Genomic DNA, 20,961 nt, shown 5'->3' with positions numbered 1-20,961 from the left:
TTTTTGCCATGAAAAGTACAGAGCTAAGATCTAGATCCTGTGTGAAGAACCATCTTCAGCATAGGTTATCTGGTAAAATTATTTCTGTCTTCTTCATTATTTACTCATTCTCTTGCAATTCCAAAAATAAACACAGTCATTGCAAATAACTTTTGAGAAAGAGGTAGTCTTTACATAATCAATAAAAGTTTTGAATATTGAAAACATCAAAGTATTTGCAGTCATCAATAACTTGCACGATTACGGAAATTTCAACTCCATACGTGTGTGTGTGTGTGTGTGTATATATATTTACTTATCTTACATAAATTTACTTCCTTAGGTATTGTTAACAATAAAATAAGTATTATTTTGACTTAAAGTTTTAGAACTCATTTCAATAACAATGAGAAATACATTATTGTTCAGAGAAGTCTGCTGACCTGAGTTATTGCTGGCACCCCTTTATATCTTTTCAGAGTAAAACACTGTGAGATGGGGTCAGCGGTTTTTTCCAATGTTGTTTCTTCTGGAACAAGTTTTGGTGGTAGCATCTTATCCCAAGGAACATCTTCATAAGCTCTATGAAGTTATTAAATAGGAACATCTTATGAAAAGCATATTCAATTGGTAAAGTTTATAACAATATGATACTATGATAAGAGAATCCGAAGATGACCCTGAGGATCCCTGCCCCTTGGTGTGTATACCATATATAATCACCTCCCCTGGACAGTAGGCAGAGCAAGTGATTATGATGAGGTAGTACTCCTGTGTTATGTGATTTTATATGCCCCAAGAGATTGGCACATGTAGTAAAGGTCCCTAATTGGTTGAATTTGAGTTAATCAGAAGGTGGGATTTTCCTGAATAGGCCCAACCTAAGCAAGCAAGCTCTAAAAAAGAGACACAAAACAACAACACATGCTCTTTGTCTGCCCTTGAAGAAACAAATGTCAGTCCTATAGCCACAATAAATGGAATTCTGTCAACAACCTGAATGATCCCGGAAGATGAGAACCAAGTCTCATCTGACACCTTGATTCCAGCTTTAGGGAACCCTAAACAGTAAACCCAGTTGGGACATACCTAGACTTCTGACCTACAGGACTGCTAGATAACAGAAGCTGCTAAATTCCTGCAGTCTGTCACACAGAAGTAGAAAACTTACATACATCTTACAGTTTCCAAAAAAATGCTCATTTGACCTTCAGAGGATACCATTAATTTACAAATCAACTATGGCTTAGAAAACTGATTTCCTTTGCTTAAGGTCAGCTATTGGTCAAAGTCAGGACTCTCCCCTGCAAAAATAATCTGCCTCCTAAGATTCAGCAACAGTCCCACTATTCCACACTAATGCAGCCAAATTGTACAAGTTTTTTGGCATGGTTGAAGGGCTTCAGCCGTCCTATGACATGCAATTATTTTAAACACACACACACACACACACAAACACACACACACAAATATGGGGATCTTTGGAGTTTTGAAAGTTGTTCTTTCACAGGCATATATGACAGACACAGTGAAATCAATTCCAGTTGGATCCTGAGTGAAAACCATACAACCCTCATTCTAAAGACTATATTCTGACAAGATAGATGGATCCCCAGACCTTCTCCTGCCCTATTCACACTTAGTGTGAAACTTGATCTTTCCATTCTATGGACAAGGCATATCTTTCCAAAAAAATCCCACTGTGAGTCAAAGTCATTTTTAAAAGAATTACCAGTGATTCTCACTTCCTCCACATATATTTGTTCAGAGATAACTATATTTCAAGACTTGTGCTAGGTGTTTACGATACAAGAATGAAAAAGGACCATTACAAAAATTATCTCTACCACATAGGAATGCTGTGAAAATTTAAAAACATAATATTGGAAAAGTTAAGTAGATCAGTGATGAGTCCATAGTGTTCTTGTTGTGTGTGAATACATTTAGAACTTACTTATCTTAAAATTAGTGTCATAGAAGCACTAAATATAATAAGATATTTTAAATCATGGCAAAGTCTTAAATGTTTTCTACCATATCTGACTAGTATTGTATGTAAGAAATTAATCTGTGAGTTCAATGAAAGCTTAAAAGATACCTCACTGTTTGAGCCTCTGATAAATTTCATAAATATTTTATGGAATTTTCCATGAAGGTAATAAACTTTTCCCTAAGGATACTTTATATGTTTAAAGAGAAACTACTTAATACTATGATTTGATACTTTGTCATATAATAAAACTTTTCCATTCTGAGTGAAGTATCACAACCTTAATAAAATATTAACTGTTTCTGAGATGATCACTGGAATTTTTAAAATTAAAATCAAGATAAGAATACAATGGGAAATAAACCCAAAAGTCAGAGAGGAATTTATGAGCCATTTGGTTATCATCCTTCATTTTTAAGATGAGAAAATTGAGGTGAAAAAGAATGGAGGATGCCAAGTTCAGCAAGTTCAGCAAGTTCAACAAGGATCCCATGTTCAGCAAGCAGGTATGTTTTAAGCCTTAGAGTTGGATTCTAAGATGGCTGATGAACAAGACTTTTTCCTCATGTTGTTCTAATACTTTGAGATCCAACTTCATATCATGTTTTTAAGTGTTTTCATAACACCCCTGGGATAGTAGGCGTTCATACATGTGTTTCATGACACTATGTTTGGTCATGGGTATACTTTTAATTTGAATGAAAAAAAATGAAGTTGAAATGTGAAGCCTGTCTGAAGTGTTCAAAATATGTGAAGAAAAAAGAGTGGGCAGATATGGAGTGCTTTGAGGTCCACACGTGTTGTCATTTCTTTATTCTCTTTGTTGCCTCTCTTTCCCTCTTCATCCATTTCTCTGTGTCATGCCATGTGTTTTGGCATTCACTCTATCACTCTGCTGAATTCTAAATCCACTAGTCAGCCCCATTATCCATTCTTGGGCCTCATCCCACTTGACCTATTTGCATGATGTGAATAGGCAATCACTACTCTTCCCTGAACACATCCTCAATCTGCCTTCCAGGACCTAGACTCTTCATCTTCCTCCTACCTTACTGGTTGCTCCGTTTCAGTCTCGATTGCTGGCTTCTCCTCTTTTTTTCTCTTTTTTAACGAGATGCCAGGACTCAGTGCCCTTTGCCTGTATGACTATACTTCACCTTTAGTGTTCTCATTCAGTTCCATGGCTTTACATACCTTTCTACAAGCCATGACACCCCGGTTGATTTCTCTGGCCCAGGCCTCTGCCTCAAACTTCAAATCCATATTTCACACTGCCTGCTTGACATATCCACTTGGATGTCTAATGAACATCTTTATATTCAATGTATGTAAAACTGACTTCTCCACTGCCTTCACCTTGTTATGAAATGGCAACCTCAGTACATCCAGCTGCATAGGCCAAAGCCTTAGAATCATTTTTGAGTCGTCTTTTCTCCAGATTCATCACAATCAGAAAATTGTGTTGGCTCTACATTCGACATACATCCAGAACTCAACCGTTGCTTACAAATTTTTCTGCCAGCACTCTCCCCCAAGCTACCATTATCTCTGTCCTAAATGACAACAATAACCTCCTAACTGGTGTTCCATCTTCTCTCCCCTGTAAAAATCTACTTTGATCACAGCAGCCACCATGATTATTACCTTCTTGTATAAGTCTGATCTTTCCACTTCTCTGCTAAAGCCTCATGTCACTCAGAATGACAGTCCTGGTAAAATTACAATTGCTTAAAGTGTCCCACAAGATCTGGTTCCTAGCACTTCTCTGACCTCTCCTTTTGCTACTCCCTCCTCTTACCCTACTGTTACCCTACTCCAGGCACCCTGGCCTTTTGTTCTTCCTTAACATCTTAAGCATACTTCTGACCTGGGCTTTTGCTCTATATTCCCTCTTCAGGGTATAGAGTCACTCCAAATCTCTGCATGGCTGCTCTCTCAACTCCTCCAAATTTCTGCACACCCCTCAGCACCTGGGGAGGCCTCCCCACACCTCCTACTTATTACTGAAGCCTGCTACCCTGTACATGTGGGACTCCTGATCTTGTCCTGTTCTACCTTTTCTTAATAGACTTATCTGTCACTTTTTAAGATATGATCTATTTACTTTCTAAGTGTGTTTGTTTATTATTGTCTGTTTCCCTTTTGATATGGTTTGGCTGTGTCCCCACCCAAATCTGACCTTGAATTGTAATAATCCTTACCTGTGTAGGGTGGGGCCAGGTGGAGATAATTGAATCATGGGGGCAGTTTCCCCCATACCGTTCTCGTGGTAGTGAATAAGTCTCACGAGATCTGATGGTTTTATAAATGGGAGCTGCCCTGCACAGGCTCTCTTGATTGCCACCATATAAGACGTAACTTTGCTCCTCCTTGCCTTCTGCCATGATTGTGAGGCCTCCCCAGCCATGTGGAACTGTGTCAATTAAACCTCTTTCCTTTATAAATTGCCTAGTCTCTGGTATGTCTTTATTAGCAGAGTGAAAAGAGATCAATACACCTTTATAATGAGAGATTTGAGAGCAGAGATCTTTGCCTACTCACTGATGTAGCTCATAGTCTAAAACATAGATTCGTAATAGGTACCCAATATATTTGTTGACTGAGTCAATGAATTCTCCCATTTAAACTTTCTCTGTCTTGGCTTTCTAGGATGCTGTACTCTTATCCCCCCACTCCCTCTTTGACCATTTACTTTCTGTTATGGTTTTATTCTTCCATCAAGCATAGGTGTGCCTTAAGACTCTTCCTTCAATGTTTATTTTAGCAATCAATATCAGTAAATGTCTGCGTTTGATGTCCTCTGTGTCACTCATAAGATCCAGGATATTATAGACATAAAGAGGATGTGTCATAAAGGAAAAAGAAATATATTCCAAAATCAAAATTCCACTGGGAAAACTGCTTACTTTTGTGTAGAGGACTTGTAAAATGAGTCCTTTGCATTACATTTCTTGTTTGTTTGAACAAGTGGTTCACCTTCATCCTAGAAGGCATGAAAAATAAGTTAAAAGAGACCAAATATAAATGGAAATTGTTATTGTTTTCTAGTCATCATGTTTTCTTTTGGATTCCTTTTTCTTCATATTTCTTCTTTCACGCACCTCTTGGATTGACCAGATTTAATGCTTCCCTACTTTTCCTCTCCTGTTTAAGGAATTTGCATTGTTTTATTGTCATAATCATTAAATTCACAAAATGTATATTAAAGTTAATGGAAAGTGAGAACTTAAGAGAAAGCTCTTGAATTGGAAACATCAGCAAATACTTAGTTTTAGCACAATGTAATTAAAAAAATTTTAGAACGTATTGTCTTTTCTTCTAATAACATAAAGAGATTAGTTATGAGATACTTTATCTTCCAGTTATTTTATCAAAATTAATTAACTAATTATTGTTATAATCATTATTATCTTTAATGGTTACTATTTATTTCAATTTTCAATGATATTTTACCAATTTGTTGCCTCCTTTTGCTTTTTTATTGTACTTGTTTTTTCTCCCCTAGGTACTTGGTTCCATTTTCTTTCTGCTGAAGTTCAATTTTTGTTAATTCTTTCACAAATGTAAACTTTTTCTAGTTCTATGTTTTAATTCACCCTCAGTTTTGAAAAGTGTTCTAACTTGGGTTCAGAGTTCTAGTTCAATTCTAGTGATGATTTTTTTAGTAACAAATTTACCTCATTGACTTCGAGGATGTATTGTTGCTTTTAAAATACACTGAGTTTAATTGTTTGCAGGTATTCTGTTTTCCTCCCCTCTGCTTATATTTAGGACATTATCATTGTCTTGAGATTTTTTACAGATTCAATGTAATTTGTTTAGGAGAGGCTATATTTTTGTTTATCTGGCTCAGGACTTGTTATACTTCTTCGATTTAACAATTCATAACTTTCATCAAATAGTTCTCTATCTTTATCTATTTACTGTCCATGAATTATAATTATTCTCTTCTTTTAGAATTACTATCAGACAAATACTGGACTTTTCATTCTGTGGTTCATGTCTCTTAATTTTTGCATTGCTTTATCTCTAACTTCCGCATGTACCTTCTATTCTACCACTATCGGCTTTCATAGTTTTAAAATGTATTTGTATTGATACATAATAGATATACAAATTTTGGGGGTAAATGTGATAATTTGATACATTCATATAATCTGTAAAAATCAAATCAGAGTAATTGGAATATCCATCACCTTAAATATCTATCTTTTCTTTGTGCTAGAAACATATGAATTTTTCTCCTCTATTTATTTTGAAATGTGCAACAGATTATTGTTAACTATAGTCACCCCACTGATATATCAAACATGGTCTTAATTATTGAATCTAACTGTATATTTGTACCCATTAATCAGCCTCTCCTTATCCTCCCTCCACACTCCCTTTCTTGGCCTCTGGTAACCACCAATCTACTCTCTATCTTCATGAGATCCACCATTTTAGCTTTCGTATATCAGTGTGAACAAGCAATATTTGTCTTATGTAGTTGGCTTATTTTATTTAACATAATGACCTCCAGTTCCATCCACGTTGGTACAAATGACAGAATTTTATTCTCTTTTATGGCTTAATAATATTCCATTGTGTATATATACCACATTTTCTCTACCCATTCATCCACTGATGGACACTTATGTTGATTCCACATTTTGCCTAATGCGAATAGGGCTGCAATAAACATGGGAATGCAGATATCTTTTCGATATATTGTTTTCCTTTCTTTTGGATATATACTCAGTAGTGGAATCACTGAATCATATAGTATTTCTAGTTTTAGGTTTTTGAGGAACCTCCATACTGTTTTCCATAGTGACTGTACTAATTTACATTTCTACCAACAGTGAATGAAAGTTTTCCTTCCTCCATATCCTCACCAGCATTTGTTATTCCCTGACTTTTTGATAAAAGACATTTTAACTGGTGTGAGATGATATCTCACTGTGGTTTTGATGTGCATTTCTCTGATTGGTGATATTGAGCATTTTTTCATATACCTGTTGACTATTTTTATGTCTTATTCTGAAAAATGTCTACTCATATCTTTTGCCCATTTTTAATCAGTATATATATATATATATAGAAAAAGATATGAATAGACGTTTTTCAGAATAACACATAAAAATAAGACATACATATATATACATAGCTATAGAGTTGTTTGAGGTCTTTATATACATTCTGGTTATTAATCCTTTGTCAGATGGGTAGTTTGCAAATATTTTCCCCATTCTGTGAGTAGTCTCTTCACTTTTTTTTTCTGTACAGAGCTTTTTAGCTTGATGTAGTCCCATTTTTTCTATTTTTACTTTTGTTGACTGTGCTTTTGAGGTCTTACACAAAATATATTTGACCAGACCAATGTCCTAGATCATTTCCTCATGACTTTTTTCTAATAGTTTCAGAGCTTCAGATCTTAGACTTAAATCTTTAACCCATTTTGACTTGATTTTTGTGTATGGTGAGAGGTAGGGGTCTAGTTTCATTCTTGTGCTGGTGGCTATACAGTTTCCCCAGCACCATTTATGGAAAAGACTGTCCTTTTCCCATTGTGTATTCCTGGAGCCTTTGTTGAAGATGAGTTGGTTGTAATTGTGTGGATTTATATGTGGGCTCCCTAATCTGTTCCATTGGTCTCTGTGTCTGTTTTTATGCTAGTACCATGCTGGTTTGATTACTATAGTTTTGTGGAATATTTTGAAGTCAGGAAGTGTGATGTCTCTAGCTTTCTTGTTTTGCACAGCATTGCTTTGGCTATTCCAGGTCTTTTGCATTTTCATATAAATTTAGTATTTTTTCTATTCCTATGAAGAATTAACTTTTCTGCTTGTGATTTCCTTTTTCACCTTTTTCTACTCTGTGTTCAATATACGTGTTCATTATATATTTTTAAAAATTCTTCAAAGCTATATCTAGCAAAATGATTAATTTTCTCTTTTACTCCATTAGTATGTTAAATTACATTGATTAATTTTAATGGTAAGTGAATATTTGCATTCCTGAGATAAACTTTACTTGATTAGGATATATCTTTTCTATAAATTATTGTTTTTTATTTGCTTTGTAAAGATGTTTGTGTTTGTGTATGTGAGAAATATTAATCTAAGATTTCCTCTATTTTTTGTAAAATCTTTGTCTGATTTTGTTATATGAGGTAAAGTTAGACTCCTAAAATTGTTTGAGAAGTACTCCCTCTTTTATTTCTGAAATAACCTATATAAGATTGGTGGTTGTTTCCTAGAATGTTTGATAACATTTATCAGTAAAACTATCTAGGCCTGAAGTTTTCACTGTGGTAAGTCTTCTGATTAAAAAAAAAACAGATATATATGCATTTATCATATTCTATTTTACTTAGTATTAATTTTGTTAACTTTGATTTTTAAAGATTTTATTCATTTCATCTAAGTGCCAAATTAATTGGCACACAGAAGTTTGTAATATTCCTTTATCTTTTTTTAGGATCTGTAATTTTTTATATTGATGATGTGTATTCTCTTTTTCTCGATCAGTCTAACAATAGGTCTATCACTTTCATTAATTCTTTCAAAGCTAAACCTTTGGGCTTTTAAAAACATTTAATTGAAAAAGAAATGTATATATTCAAGGTGTTCAACATGATGATTCGATACATGTATACATTGTGTAATGATTACCACAGTCAAGTGAATTAACACATCTGTCATCACCCATTGTTATCATTTGTGTGTGTGTATGTGCATATGTGGTGAGGATGCCAAAAATCTTTCTCTTGTCACATTTCAAGTAAAAAATACAGTATTATTAACTACAGTCCCCATAATATATCTCCAGAACTAATTCATCTTAAAACTGAAAGTTTATATCCTTTGACCAACATCTTTCATTTTCTCCACCCCTCAGCTCCTGGAAACCACCATTCTACTCTTTGCTTCTATAAGCTTGACTTTTTAAGATTCCACATATAAGTAAAATCATGCAATATTTCTGTTTCTGTGCCTGGTTTATTTCACTTACAATGTCCTTCAGGTTCATCCATGTTGTGGTAAATGGAAGTTCTTTTTCTTTTTATGGCTGAATAATATTCTAATATATATTTATACACACACACACACACACACACACACACACACACCATATTTTCTTTATCCATTCATCTGTCTATGGACACTTAGGTAGGAAATAACTTTTGACTTTTCAAATTTTTTCTCTTGTGTATCTATCCTCCATTTCACAATTTCCATTCTTACCATTTTTAAATTTTCTTCCTTCTTATTTTTGGTTTAATTTAATCATTTTTCTAGTTTCTTTATATATATATGTATATATATATGTGTGTATATGTGTATATATATGTGTATATATATGTGTGTATATATATGTATATATATGTGTATATATGTATATATGGGTATATATATGTGTATATATATGTGTATATATGTGTATATATATGTGTGTATATATATGTGTATATATGTGTATATATATGTGTATATATGTGTATATATATGTGTATATATATGTGTATATATGTGTATATATATGTGTATATATGTGTATATATATGTGTGTATATGTGTGTGTGTGTGTGTGTGTGTGTGTATATATATATATATATATATACTTAATCTCACTCTGTCGCCTAGGCTGGAGTGCAGTGGCATGATCTCGGCTCACTGCAATCTCCGCCTCCTGGGTTCAAGTGATTTTTGTGCCTCAGCCTCCCAAGTAGCTGGGATTACAGGCACCCGCCACCATGCAGGGCTAATTTTTGTGTTTTTAGTAGAGACAGGGTTTCACCATGTTGACCAAGCTGATCTTGAGCTCCTGACCTCAAGTGATCCACCCAACTTGGCCTCCCAAAGTCCTGGGATTACAGGCGTGAGCCACCACACCCAGCCTCTAGTTTCTTAATATTGAAACATTATCATTAATTTTAGATCTTTCTTGTCTTCTAAGGTAAGCAAATAAGGCTAATTTTTCTTCTTAGCAGAGTTTTAACTGCATTATACAAAATTTGATATGTTTTATTTTGCACTAAGTTTAAATATTTTCTAATTTATCTTGTGACTTCTTCTTTGACCTGTAGGTTATTTAGAAGTGTGTTTAATTTTAAAATATTTGATATTTTCCTAGATGTCTTATGGTCATTGATTTTTAATTTGACTCTGTGTTGGCTAGAGAACATATGTGGGATGAATTCAATACTTTTAAATGTATTAAGACTTGTTTTATGTCCCCACATATCATCTATAGTAGTAAACATATCATGTGCATTTGAAAAGAATATTTAGTGTGTGTTTGGTGTAGTGTTCCATAAATATCAACTACCTGAAGGTGATTGATGTATTGTTTAGATCTATGTATTTATTAGTTGTTTTGTCTAGTTGCTTTATCAAGTAGACAAAGATGTTAAAACCCCCTAAGGTGATCAGTGGAATTGTGTATCTCTCCTTTTTGTGTCTGTTCATTTTTGCCTCAAGTATTTTGAACCTTTGTTACTAGATGCATATACATTTATGATTGTTAGGTTTTCTTGACAAATTAACTGTTTTGTAACTAAGACATGACTCTCTCTATGTCTTGTAACACCCTTTGTCATGAAATCTATTTAATCTGATCTCAAAATAGCCACTACAGCCTATTTATATTTTATTTACATTGTATGTATTTTTCATTGACTTACTTTCAATGGATTTGTATCTTTATATAACTGAAGTATGCCTCTTGTAAATAGCATATAGCTGTGTCTTGCTTTATTATCTATTCTGACAATGTCTGCCTTATAATTGGAATGTTTAGTATATTACCATTAATGTAATTAATGTAATTATGATATATTTGGATTAAGTGTAACATTTTATTACTGGCTTCTGGAAAACCCTACGTTTCTATTTCTCTGTTCCTTTTTTTTCTGTCTTTTTGGGAATTATTTAAATTTGTCTTTTTGCTTTTTTAGAATTCCAACTTAAGCCATCAATTGACTCTTTAACTATACTTCTTTACATTGCGTTTTAGTGACTCCTCTAGAAGAAACAATGTGCATGCTTAACTCTCCACAGTTCACTTAGAGTTAACATACCACTTCACATAACGTGTACAAACATTTCAAGCTTTTTATTTATTTATTTATTTATTTATTTATTTATTATTATACTTTAAGTTTTAGGGTACATGTGCACAATGTGCATGTTAGTTACATATGTATACATGTGACATGCTGGTGCGCTGCAACCACTAACTCGTCATCTAGCATTAGGTATATCTCCTAATGCTATCCCTCCCCCCTTCCCCCACCCCACAACAGTCCCCAGAGTGTGATGTACCCCTTCCTGTGTCCATGTGTTCTCATTGTTCAATTCCCACCTATGAGTGAGAATATGCGGTGTTTGGTTTTTTGTTCTTGCGATAGTTTACTGAGAATGATGATTTCCAATTTCATCCATGTCCCTACAAAGGACATGAACTCATCATTTTTTATGGCTGCATAGTATTCCATGGTGTATATGTGCCACATTTTCTTAATCCAGTCTATCATTGTTGGACATTTGGGTTGGTTCCAAGTCTTTGCTATTGTGAATAGTGCCGCAATAAACATACGTGTGCATGTGTCTTTATAGCAGCATGATTTATAGCCCTTTAGGTATATACCCAGTAATGGGATGGCTGGGTCAAATGGTATTTCTGGTTCTAGATCCCTGAGGAATGGCCACACTGACTTCCACAATGGTTGAACTAGTTTACAGTCCCACCAACAGTGTAAAAGTGTTCCTATTTCTCCACATCCTCTCCAGCACCTGTTGTTTCCTGACTTTTTAATGATTGCCATTCTAACTAGTGTGAAATGGTATCTCATTGTGGTTTTGATTTGCATTTGTCTGATGGCCAGTGATGATGAGCATTTTTTCATGTGTTTTTTGGCTGCATAAATGTCTTCTTTTGAGAAGTGTCTGTTCATGTCCTTTGCCCACTTTTTGATGGGGCTGTTTGTTTTTTTCTTGTAAATTTGTTTGAGTTCATTGTAGATTCTGGATATTAGCCCTTTGTCAGATGAGTAGGTTGCAAAAATTTTCTCCCATTTTGTAGGTTGCCTGTTCACTCTGATGGTAGTTTCTTTTGCTGTGCAGAAGCTCTTTAGTTTAATTAGATCCCATTTGTCAATTTTGGCTTTTGTTGCCATTGCTTTTAGTGTTTTAGACATGAAGTCCTTGCCCATGCCTATGTCCTGAATGGTAATGCCTAGGTTTTCTTCTAGGGTTTTTATGGTTTTAGGTCTAACGTTTAAGTCTTTAATCCATCTTGAATTGATTTTTGTATAAGGTGTAAGGAAGGGATCCAGTTTCAGCTTTCTACATATGGCTAGCCAGTTTTCCCAGCACCATTTATTAAATAGGGAATCCTTTCCCCATTGCTTGTTTTTCTCAGGTTTGTCAAAGATCAGATAGTTGTAGATATGCGGCGTTATTTCTGAGGGCTCTTATATTAGTTTATCACATGCTTTCATCTCTTACTCTACAGTTGTCATACATACATTCAGAGGACAATGTTATACTTTTATTTAAAACAATCATATGAACCTTAAAAGGAAAAAAGTAATATTTTATTAGGCAGGATTTCTTTTAATGTACACTTGTTGGCAATAAATTTCCCTCATTTCCTTTACTTGAATTTTTTAAATCATTTTAATATATTCATATTTAACCTCCAAATATATCCATGTTCAAATCCCTGGAACCTGTGAATGTTACTATTAAAAAGAAAAGCCAGGTGTGGTGGCTCATGCCTGTAATCCCAGCACTTTGGGAGGTCGAGGCCGGAGGATCATCTGAGGTCAGGAGTTCAAGGCCAGCCTGGTCAACATGGTGAAACTCCATCTCTACAAGAAAAAAAACAAAAATTAGCTGGGCATGATGGCAAGTGCCTGTAATCCTAGCTACTCAGGAGGCTGAGGCAGGAGAATTGCTTGAACCTGGGAGGCGGAGGTTGCAGTGAGCTGAGATCATGCCATTGCACTCCAGCCTGGGTGACACAGTGAGACGCCATCTCAAAAAAAGAAAAGAAAAAAAAAAGAACCTTTAATTAAATTGAACAGTGTTTAACTGGGCAGAAAAAAAAGATTCGTGAAAAAGGTAGCACTCAACACAAAAGCAGTTCAGAGAGTTCCACTACAAAATGTGGGCAGGGAATATTTATAGCCAGAAAACAGAAGTGACATACAAAAATAGTCTACATGGTTACAGTTCTGTGTTTGCCTTAGTTTAACATCTTTTGCTGGTTTGCAGCCTGTGATTGGCTGAAAGCTTGGCTGCTATGATTGGCTGCAACACAGCTGCATGTTCTAAGAATTTACTCACAAGTTGTTAGGTTGCAGTTGGTTCACCTATAATTTAGATTACAGTTTATTACATACGTAGGTTAGTTTCAGGCCAAATGTAATTTAATTTAACAATTATTCTCTTTTGCTCAGCCACTCAATTTTAAGAGATTGACCAAAACCTTGGCACTGATACTCCTTTCTGTCACCTTCATAATGGACTTGTTTGATCTCTATATAAATTCACAATTCATTATATGAAATTAGTTGGATGATTATGCTTTCCTCGTGTTTTTTTACTCTAACTGTAATGAGATCTTTTGATGTACAAAGGATGGCTACGTATGAGCATTTATAATTCTTAAGGGATATAACACAGGAGGGAGGCCACTATAATGGCTATTGGGAGGATAATATAAAGAAAGTGAAGTACACTATGCAACAGGAATCTCTGCGAACCAAACTCATCAGAACAAACAATTCAAAATTCAGGCAATAAAGACAATTCATCAGTATTTAAGTCTTAGTGGTCATAGTCTGTGTTTGGGGTGGAGTGGCAATTAAGAACCATAGTGTGCTGTAAAATGGTCTGATTTAAAGAGATATCTATTTTTGTAGTTAGCCTGGTAATATCAATCATAGTAATCTGTACATGATTAAATGAAACACAGAGATGAGAAAAATCTTAGACTAGCCAGCCTTGCCATCCACCATTTAGGACGCCTGCAAACCAGCTGTTAGCTACTCCCATAATCACGTCATGTGTTTCTTTCCCCTGAGAAATGTCCCTGGTGCATTCGGTGGCAGTGTTTACAGGAATTGCAGTGTTGGCTACCTTTTAAATTAAGCTTTCTGTAGTAGTAAAACCAGCGTGAAGGTAAGTGCAGCATTCAGTTCTGTTTAGCACCATGGGCAAGACCCCAACATAAGCCAAGAAGAGATCTAACACCGTACAGTGTTCCATTAAGTGTTTTTGCTGAACATGACCTTTTTTTATCCCCCTTCAGGAGAGTGGCTTCTTCCCATTTAAACCCTGGAAAATATAATTGGCTACAAATTTCAAGATTTTTTCCCAATTTATGGATTACCTTCAAGTTCCATACAACTGGCACCATCTACCAACAAGAGTGAGCATCCAGGAACCTCGTTAGAAACTTTTCTCAGTGGAAATTAACTTATCTTCATTCCACTTTAAGGTTAGTATGAATTTTGGTTATTGATCACTTTGGCCTTTGATTATGGAAGGTATTATGGAAACTTTCAGAGAAAGCTATTTGGAAGACAGGAGTGAGCCAGGCCCATTAGCAAGATATGAACCAGCAAGCAGAACACAGTAAACAAATTCTCCTCAGACCCAATGTGTCTGCAGGCCCCCAGGAGCTGGAAAAGAGGGCCACCTGGTGGCATGTGAGCAGAGGCCAGTTACACTTTTTCACCCATAGGCCTACATAGCGCGTGAGCCAGGTTCAGCGAGTAATTTATTTTCTGTGTGTGGTCCCTTTATAGCATGCTGGAAGGATGCATAACAGTATTCAGTGGAACGAGACCTTACTGGATTTAGTCCAGCGACATCATACAAGCAATTACTTGTACCCTCATAAGTGATCCCCAAATCTTGAGTATTCAATGCTCGGAAGCACAACATACCTTTTGTAGGCATCACTTTGATAGGTTTTTTATATTTAGTAGCCATTCTGTTATTAACTGGAAAGGTCAGAGTATTGTTTTCAATAAGCATAGGAAAGCAAGTAGCAGTCATGTCTAGAATATCAATTTCTACTCCTCCTTTGAGGTTTTAGCATGACTGTCACTGGTAACACAGACAGGCAGTGGCATTAGTGGAATCGTTTCCTGATTTGGGGGCATTAGCTACAAATTTAACAATTGTTTTGGTTTCTTACTGGAGCATAAGCCTTTGCTAAAGCCATCCACAAATTACAGTCCATGGCTTTTCCTGTAAAGAAAGGGAACGATTAGGATGGCAGAAATAGGAAAAAGAGGAAAAAGGATAAGGTTTTCAGTTTTCATGATGTCAGAAAAGTCTTGATCTATGGCGTTAGGATAGCTGTTAATGTCTAGGATGGCATCTGCTTCTGGGGAAAAGTTTTCCTGGTCAGGTTTACCTTCAATTCTCAAACAGGTATACATTTCCAGGAGCTTGGAGGGGCCCTTTTGAGCTTTAACATGTGAACCCAAGGTTTAAGCCTTTGATATTTTACTGCAGCGTGGGTGGCAAGTAGAACTTGGTATGGTCTCTTCCAATAGGGAGAGGACCATGGGTTCAATGAGGTCTCTGATGTCATTTTCAGAAGATCCAATCTCCAGGTTCTGGGTTTTGAAAGGTCTGGTTGTTCTCAGTCTGTGGGTCATGGAAGATCTCCTTCACCTGGTGAAAATACACTATGACATAATGCATTAAAGCCTGCAGTATTTAGTCATATCAGAGTTTAGGATAATGGAAGATACACGAGGTTCTATTATTAAGGGCATATGCCTTCCAGGAACTATTCCATAAGGAGTCAATCGATGTTTTCCACTGGGGGTGGATTTGATTACCATTAAAGCCGAGGTAATATTACCTCAGTAATGATTACCATTAAAGCCAGCGCAATCAAATTGATTCAGTTAACTTTGCCAATTTCAGCTGTAAAATGCCATTTGTCTTTTGACCTTTCCAGAAGACTAAGGGTAATAGGGACAATGGTGATGCCATTGGGTGCATAAGCTTATTCGACTGTTTCTAAATTGTCCAGTGAAATAGGTTCCTCTGTTGCTGGAGATTTCTCCAGGGATGCTCCATAAAGGAAATACTTTTTAAATAACTTCTTAGCTACCATCATAAGATCAGCTTTCTCAGATGGGAAAGCTTCTATCCAGCCAGATAACATGTAAATATACAGATATCCCACTGAAAATGACAATTGAATAAAGTCCGGTAGTGAAAATACACCACCTGAAGTTTTTATTGTTTTCACAGGATTATGAGTTTGACAAACCAAACATTGGTTATGAACCATTTTATCAATTTGATAACAGTTACCCCACCAGTATTTGTTCATAATTTGGATCATGCTGTCTGTTACATGATGAGTTGTAGAGTGAAGAGCTTTGTGGAGTGCAAAACTTTTAACAGTGGAAGCTTCAAGGACTCAGGAAGTACCAGAAGGAAGTATTAGGCACCCATCTGAGAGCTCTTTGAGTTCAGGTTTAACACTGAATTTACAGGCATTCGGATACCAATTTTGTTTTTCCAAATCAGGCACATTTCACAGTTTGTTAAATAGGTCAACATAGGGGAGTTGACTTGGATCAATCTTACAGAGTTTATTCAAATTGTGTATCCTAACAGTTTCAGCACTAGTTGATTTAGCATAGAAATCTGCCAGGGAATTCCTTTGATACTCAGGTTTAGTTTTACAGCTATGATCTTCAATCTTAATAATGGCAGTTCGTGATGATAAGAGGCTAGCAGAAAGGAGTGCATTTGCTTGGAGACTGTTTTTAATGGGGGGTCCCCCTCTTTGTTTCTATAACACGCCAAAATCACGGACTACTCCAAAAGCATGTAACTATCTGTATAAATATTTACTGACATGTCTTTAGCTATATGTACAAGCTCAGGAGAAACTGACTTATATTAGGTGAGAGTTCTCTTCTGTATTAACTCATTTCAGGTGATAAGATCATACCCTGCCTGGTATTTTCCTTCTGAGTTTTATAATAAGACCAAAAAACAAAAAGTATCAACTCAGGATTATCAAAGGGATTATCTCACATATGAACATGAGGAGCCACTATTTCTAACACTACACTCACAATTGTGGTCTTCACCTGCATGAGGCAGGGGTAGTAGAGTAGCAGGGTTAAGTAAGTTGCAACATTTCAGATAGAAATTAGGAGACAAGAGAAGAATTCCAGAAGGTGTTAATCTATTTGCTGACAAATACAGAGTTTGTCTGGAATTTAATATATTTTTTTTTGCAGTGTGCAAGACTTGCAAATAAAGGTCGTGTCTTAAAAGCGGCTCAGATGAAACTACCAATTTGGCTGCTGCTGCTACCGCTTTTAAACAATTAAAATATGGCTTAGCTACTGAGTCCAATCACAGGCTATAATATGTGATTGGCCTCTATTTTCCTTCATGTTTTTGGGTAAGTACTCCTAATGCCTGAATGTTATTTTCATGAATGAACAGCGTGAAAGGTTTAGCATAATTTGGAAGTCATAAAACTGAAGGCTGTTGTAAGGCTATTTTCATTTGCAGAAAAGCCTCCTCATGGCTGTCTTCTCAAGGTAAAGGCTCTGATACTGAGTTTCTAGTAAGCTAACCCAATGGTGAGGCCATTAGGGAAAATGTGGGACCCAGAATCTGTATTATCCTGCAAGCTTGAGAACGCCTCTTATTGTTTCTTTTAATTGTAGGTCAGGAAAAGCTTTGAGTAGTTTTTATTCTCTCAGGCAAGAGGAGAATTGCTTCAACACTCAGGTTACATCCTAGCGAGTGAACATTTTTTTCTTGAAAACAGAAGTTTTTCCATTAAAACATTGTGACCCTTATGAGGCCAGCAAGTTGCTATAAAAGGATATTGAATTTTTCCCCTCTACTTAAGAATAGTCTTAGTTATTTCTGATTCTTTGTTTTTATGTATCCATTTTTTTAAAGAACTTTTCAAAATCCCACAAAAATATAGTTAGAATATTGATTTAGATGGCACTGAAACTATAAATCAACTTAGGAAGCTCTAAACTTTTTAAACATTTTAAGTTTCCATTCCAGATAATAGCATATTGCCCTGTCTATTTAGGTTTTAGATTTTCTCTCAATACATTTACTAGTTTTGCCATAGGATTCTTGAATACAGTTTCATAAATTTATTACTCAACAGTGAATAGTTTTTGATACAATGGTTAAATGTTTTAAAACTTTCTGTTTCTTGCTGATATTTAGAATACAATAAATGCATTTCCAATAATGTTCATTTCTAAAAACCTTATTCAGTTTCTTTTTATCATAGTAGTTTAACTGTATAGGCTGGAGTCAGTGGCAGACTGCCTAAGCTCAGGAGTTCCAGACCAGCTTGGGCAACATGGGGAGACCCTGTCTCCACAAAAATACAAAAATTAGCTGGGCATGGTGGTGCATGCCTGTAGTCCCAGATACCTGGGGGGCTGAGGCAGGATGATGGCTTGAGCTTGGGAGGTTGAGGCTGCAGTGAGCTGTGATCACGCCACTACACTCCAGCCTGGGTGACAAAGCAGGACTCTGTCTTAAAAATAAAATAAGGTAAAATAAAATGAAAAGTAATTTAATTGCATATTTATTTGGATGTTTACATACATAATCATATTGACAAGAATATTAGGGTTGTTTAGTCACCTCCAATTTGTATACCATTTTTATGTTTGCTTAACTGGGCTGGCTAAGAACTTCAGTGCTTAGGTGAAAGGAGGAGGAGAAAAGAGAACGTGAAAGAGGACATACTTGCTTGAGATTGCTTACACAGGGGATGCTTTCAACATTTCACTATTTAATATTAAGTTTGATTTACCTTTTCACAGACATCCATTATTAATTTAAGGATAATGTCAATCCTTTTTGTCAATTTTTTTTCATATCTTGAGATGAGTAGATGACTTGTATTTTAATCAGTTAACACAATGAATCACATTTATCAATTTTCTAAAGTTAAGCAAAACTTACATACCTGAATAAACCTAACTTTATAATGATGTATTAACCATTTGTATATCACTATATTCTAAATGTGCACATATGTTTTTATTTTTTACCAGGCATCTTTTATTATTGAGTTCTAGTTTAATTTTGTTGCAATCCGAGAACATCTTTCTATAATTTCAATTTTTTGATTTCATTTGATGTGTTTGATATTCCAGAATATAATTTATCTCAGTGAATGTTCTGTGTGCCATTGGTATTTATATCAATTAGGTCAAGTTAGTTCATAATAGTTTTCATATGTTCCATATCCCCCTTTTTTTCTGTCTACCTTTCCTATAAACTACTGAGGACAGAGTTTTGAGATATCTACTAACGGTAAATCTGCCTTTCAGTCCTATAAGTTTGTGCTTCATGTATTTTGAGTTCTGTTATTAGGTGATATACATTTTAAATACATTTTATGTACATTTTATGGATTGATCCCTTTCCTATTGTAAAATATCTGAGTCCTTAGTAAAATTTCTTGTTCTGAAATTCACTTTGTCTGATGTTATTACAGCTAATTCTGCATTAATTTGACTAGTTTTTGAATGATATATATTTTCACATCTTACCTTAAACTTCTATTTATATTTCACATGGTTTTCTTGTGGTCAGCGTATAAGTAGGGTACTAATTTTTTTTTTTTTTTTTGGAGACAGAATCTCACTCTGTTGCCCAGGCTGTAGCACAATGGTGTGATCTCGGCTCACTGCAACCTCTGCCTCCCAGGTTCAAGTGTCTCTACTGCCTCAGCCTCCCAAGTAGCTGGGATTACAGGCGCCCGCCACTACATCCGGCTAATTTTTGTATTTTTAATAGAGACAGGGTTTTACCATGTTAGTCAGGTTGGTCTTGAACTCCTGACCTCAGGTGGTCCACTCTCCTCAGCGTCCCAAAGTGCTGGAATTACAGGCGTGAGCCACCTCACCCGGCTGGGTCTTAATTTTTTATCCAACTAACAATTTGTGACTTTTAAGTTCATTATATTAAATTCTATTTAACAGTGGACATAATTTAGTTTAAATCTGTTTTTGTTTTCTATTTGTTTTATCTTCTCTATTTTTCTTTTGTGTTACTTTCTTTTGAGTTAGTTAAGAATTTTTTTAATTTTAAAATTTCATTTTATCTCCTATTAACTTACTACATATGCTTTAAAAATTTTTTTCTTTTCTGTTGTTGCTGTCTCTCTAGGATTTATAGTATACATATTTTACAATATACATCTTTAACTCCAGGGTTTACAGGATAATAATATATCATTTCAAAAATAGTGTAAAAAAATTTAAACAGCATATGCTCATTTTCTTTGCTGTCCCTTATACTACTGTCACACAATTTACTTTTTTATATGCTATAAACCTGAAACACATTACTATTATTGTTGCTTTAAACAGTGATACTGTAAAGAACTCCAAGATGAAAAATAGTATTTTATATTTACCCATATGTTTACCATTTCTGTTCACCTCAATTTATTTCATTGTGTGAACTTGAATTTTCATATACATTATTTTCTTCTGTCTAAAGAAATTCCTTCAGGTCTACTGGCAGTGCATTCTTTCAGCTTTGTTTTTACAAAAAATGTTTCTATTTTGCCTCTAATTTTAAATATTTTTATTGTTAGTTAATATCTTCTTAGTTTATTGTTATTTGTTTTTGTTACTTAAAATATGTGCATTTATTTTCTTCTGGCTTGCAGAAACTGACAAAAAGCCAGAAGTCATTCTTACATGTGTTTCTTTGTAAATATCTTTTCTCTAGCTGTTTTTAAGATTTTATCTTTATCACTGTTTTTCAGCAATGTCATTGATGTGTTTTGGGCATAATTTTAAAAAAAATTTATACAGATTGAAATTTGTTGAACATCTTGTGTCTTCAGATTTATAATTTTGATCAGTTAGGAACAATTTGTGTCATTGTGTCACCAATCTTTTTTCTCAGCTCACTTTTATTCTGAGACCCCAATGCATGTAT

At 35.1% G+C, this 20,961-nt stretch overlaps 1 protein-coding gene across 3 annotated transcripts in view; it reads right to left on the bottom strand.

Annotated features, from left to right (window-relative positions):
- SPMIP7 (sperm microtubule inner protein 7) overlaps positions 1–20,961 on the bottom strand; it is a 63,374-nt gene that overhangs the window by 24,588 nt on the left and 17,825 nt on the right. For all 3 annotated transcript variants that reach the window (NM_001161834.3, XM_011515052.2, XM_011515053.3), the window contains exons 3-4: positions 4,876–4,952; positions 423–561 (exon numbers count right to left, since the gene is read on the bottom strand). In NM_001161834.3, coding sequence (NP_001155306.3) covers positions 423–561; positions 4,876–4,952 — 216 coding nt within the window. The remainder of the gene's footprint in view (positions 1–422; positions 562–4,875; positions 4,953–20,961) is intronic.

The sequence above is a fragment of the Homo sapiens genome, chromosome 7 (genome assembly GCF_000001405.40).
Source record: "Homo sapiens chromosome 7, GRCh38.p14 Primary Assembly".
In the NCBI taxonomy this organism is placed as follows: Eukaryota; Metazoa; Chordata; class Mammalia; order Primates; family Hominidae; genus Homo; species Homo sapiens.
Note: the sequence above shows the minus strand (reverse complement) of the source record. Positions and strands in the feature narration are given on the sequence as shown.